At 40.4% G+C, this 3,355-nt stretch overlaps 1 annotated feature.

The window, feature by feature from the left end:
• Positions 2,154 to 2,393: an enhancer, noted in NCBI's record as "active region_24875". NCBI's record gives its function as "activates an Ori minimal core promoter by ATAC-STARR-seq in GM12878 lymphoblastoid cells {active_cell/tissue: GM12878}" and the evidence as "EXISTENCE:reporter gene assay evidence [ECO:0000049][PMID:35858748]".

The raw sequence follows: 3,355 nt of genomic DNA on the forward strand, positions 1-3,355 counted from the left end.
CATTTGGTAAGAATCACTTCACATTTGGTATCACCTATGTTGTATTTGGGTACCCCTGAGTCAGGCAAGTAAGTTCCTGTCCTTTTTTTTCCTGGTAGTACATCATCTCGTCTTTCAGTCCATACCTTTTCTCTCTCTCCCTCTGTCTCTCTCTCAGGCTTGATCTCATAAAAAATCATAAACTTCCAACATGCTTATGGTTAAAAAAAAATTCTAGAAAAGGATACACATGGTTCATCCAGATTTTTAGCACAACTCCTCCTCCAACAAACACTGAAAAATTAGAAAGCAATTTGAGAAAAATTGTTTTGAAAGGTATGTAGGTTTGACTTTTCGGTGTGGGCATACCCATATTTAAATTACAGGGTTATCCGTTGTGCTCAGAAATTACAATAAACAGGATACCTGACAAACAAGGATAGTGGAATCATAGAATTGCATCATTGTTCATTAGAAAAAACAAGTACCCTTATGATACTGTGACTGTACAGAATTACATTATCATCTATTCCACACACAAGCACAAATATGGAACAGAAGATCTAATGAGTCGAGATGTCATCTGAATTTCCATGTGTTACATTTACAGCTTAGAGTTGTAGCTTTATTGAATGGCGCCAAAACATTCTTACTTCATAATAGCATTAGTGACATTTCACTTGGATAATCCTATTTGTTTTCATTTATTTTAATGAGGTAGTTTGGGATGGTAACCTGCAGCAGAAAGCTTGGCAACAGGTGACAGCATGACTTGAAATGCCTATTGAACTGAAAGGTAGTTAAAAGCTAAATGAAATGCTTAGATGCACAGTGGTTTCCCAGCACCATATATTTTACTCTAAAAACAGTAAGGCTAAAGTGCCAATTGTAAGAACCTAAGACTTTATTACCTTTTAAAACTTTCCTGCGTGGATGAGTGGATAATAAGGACTAATTTGCTGCATTTTTGTGGCCTGTTTCCACATGTTTGCATTTCCCAATGACGCTTTCTTTATGGAAAAGAGTGCTGGGCACAACACATTTTTTTCCATGCAGCGATCATATGTCTATGATTCATTTAATCCTTCAATACAGATACACAGTCAGTAGTGATGCAGACGGCTAACAGACATGCATATTTGCCAAGCCTTAAGTGTCCCAGCTTACAAAAGGAGTTTCTAATGTTGAGAACTTCAATTATGTCACTTAAACCCATCAATCTTTTTCCCTTGCCTCATGCTACAAATCTTTCAGATCTATTATTTTCATAACATCTGATGCCTGGAGTGACAAGTGCCCTCTGACATTTTAGTTTTCCATGGAGACTTAGAATGAGAAAATGGCGCCTCATTAAGTCTTTCTTATCAATTAAAAAGGAAACACCTTTTCCTGTTCCATCTTATGCAACAGCTAACTCAGGTATTAAGTAAGCTGCCAACATCTTTCTAGAACCCAGAGTAAGAATTCATAATCGACCCTGGTCTTTTAGGCCCAGGGAATAAATAGGAACAAGAAATTCCCATCCAAAGAACACCATGTTGACTTTAGCTATATCTTGTAAGATCTAGTCAATGTCCATCTGAAAGCTGTGAGATTAAGGAAAGGACTCCTATTTTATCAATCCAGGTCCAGACAAGAGACAAATTACACCAATGGAGATAATTTAATATAAACAATATAAAGAAGTACTTACTAGGTACTGAATGATTGAATATGCAAAAAGAGAACAATAAGTTATCATGGAAATAGGACACATTTACCACTTGCAGGGCTGGGGAACAAAGGGATGAGATGGGAACCATCAAAATAGATCCCAATGAATGCTACACTCAGATGTCTGAGGAGAGGGCACTGCTCTGAAGTTGCTGGTGCTTCAGACCTTGGGTAGGGGGGTAGACTCAGATCTCCCAGGGAGGTGGCAGCTGGCTGGTGCTGGTGTACCTAAGTAGGGAGTAGACTCAGATCCCCCAGGGGAAGTGGCAGCTGGTGGCCTGTGCTGATGTACCTAATGCCAGTGTGGGGCCACAGGGTTGGCCCAAACTTCCAAAAAGGTGATACTGCCAGCTAAGACAGTGCATCTGAGGGGTGTACCATGAGACTGGTTCTGCAACTATTGGAAAAATTGTAAACTGGGCTGGGCATGATGGCTTATGCATATAATCCCAGCACTTTGGGAGGCTAAGGCAAGTGGATCACCTGAGCCCGGGAGTTCGACACCAGCCTGGGCAGCACAGTGAAAACCCATCTCTACAAAAAAATACAAAAATTAGCTGGGTATGGTGCACACCTGTGGTCCTAGCTACTTGGAAGGCTGACGTGGGAGGATCACCTGAGCTGTGATCACACCACTGCACTCCAGCCTGAGCGACAGAATGAGATCCTGTGTCAAGAAAAAAAAAATGCAAACTAGTATAAACAGCTGTTACTGAAGTAAAATGCCACTGTTTGGGTGAAGAAGTGTTGCTGGGTGACACTGAAAGAAATAGGAAGCAAAACTGGAGTCAGAGGTAGCAGAGAGGAAAATAAACTTTCTCCTTTCCCAGACTTGCAGTCTTTCTCTAGCATCCCCTGTTGGCAGAGCCTAACAGGGAATTATCAGCAACACAGAAATAAATGTGTATTGCAGAGGTCCAGCATCACACAGCAGAGTGTAGGAGGATGGGCTTGATGCCGCGAGACAATAGCTTAATGATGGGCCCAACCCACTGACATGTAAAAAATATATTCACCAAGCATGAGGGAAAACCAAAAATTCTAAGTGGTATTCTTGTAACTGATCTTGCACTTGACTTTCTACTTCCTTTCCATTCACCCCCACGTCAGCTCCTCTGGCTAAGAATATTTGCTGTTGAAACTTGAGCAAGATTTTTCTAACTTTGATGCACTTTTACATCAGAACCAATATGGAATCAAGCAGAGAATGTCTTTTGTAAAGGTTATCTAGATGATGCCTACTTCAGAGAGTTGTTTACTACTCTGAGAAAGGATTTTTTTTTTTAAAGACTACTCTTACTTAAGGAGGAAGAGCAAATTCTACCTGGGAAATGATTTACCACAGAGGTCTTATTCATGAGCAGAGGCAGTAGTAAAACTGCACTCATCACGCCTTGGTCTTGAGAAATTCCTGGTCGGGGGGTGCTTCCTGAGTATGGGACAGAATCCATAATGCTCATAGTAGCCCCTTTCAAAACCTTTAGGCTTCACTATGGGCCTTCTTGACGGTTCTGAGTTGATGTAGATAATGAGAAATTGAGGTAATGAAAAATGTCCATTTGTTTTTTCTTTTAAACTGTCGAACCCAATCCATTATTGACACAAGTTTTTCTCCTGAAGTGTATAGAGATCTATACTCTATAGACAAATAGAAAAGTAGAAC

This window comes from Homo sapiens, chromosome 6, assembly GCF_000001405.40.
Source record: "Homo sapiens chromosome 6, GRCh38.p14 Primary Assembly".
In the NCBI taxonomy this organism is placed as follows: domain Eukaryota; kingdom Metazoa; phylum Chordata; class Mammalia; order Primates; family Hominidae; genus Homo; species Homo sapiens.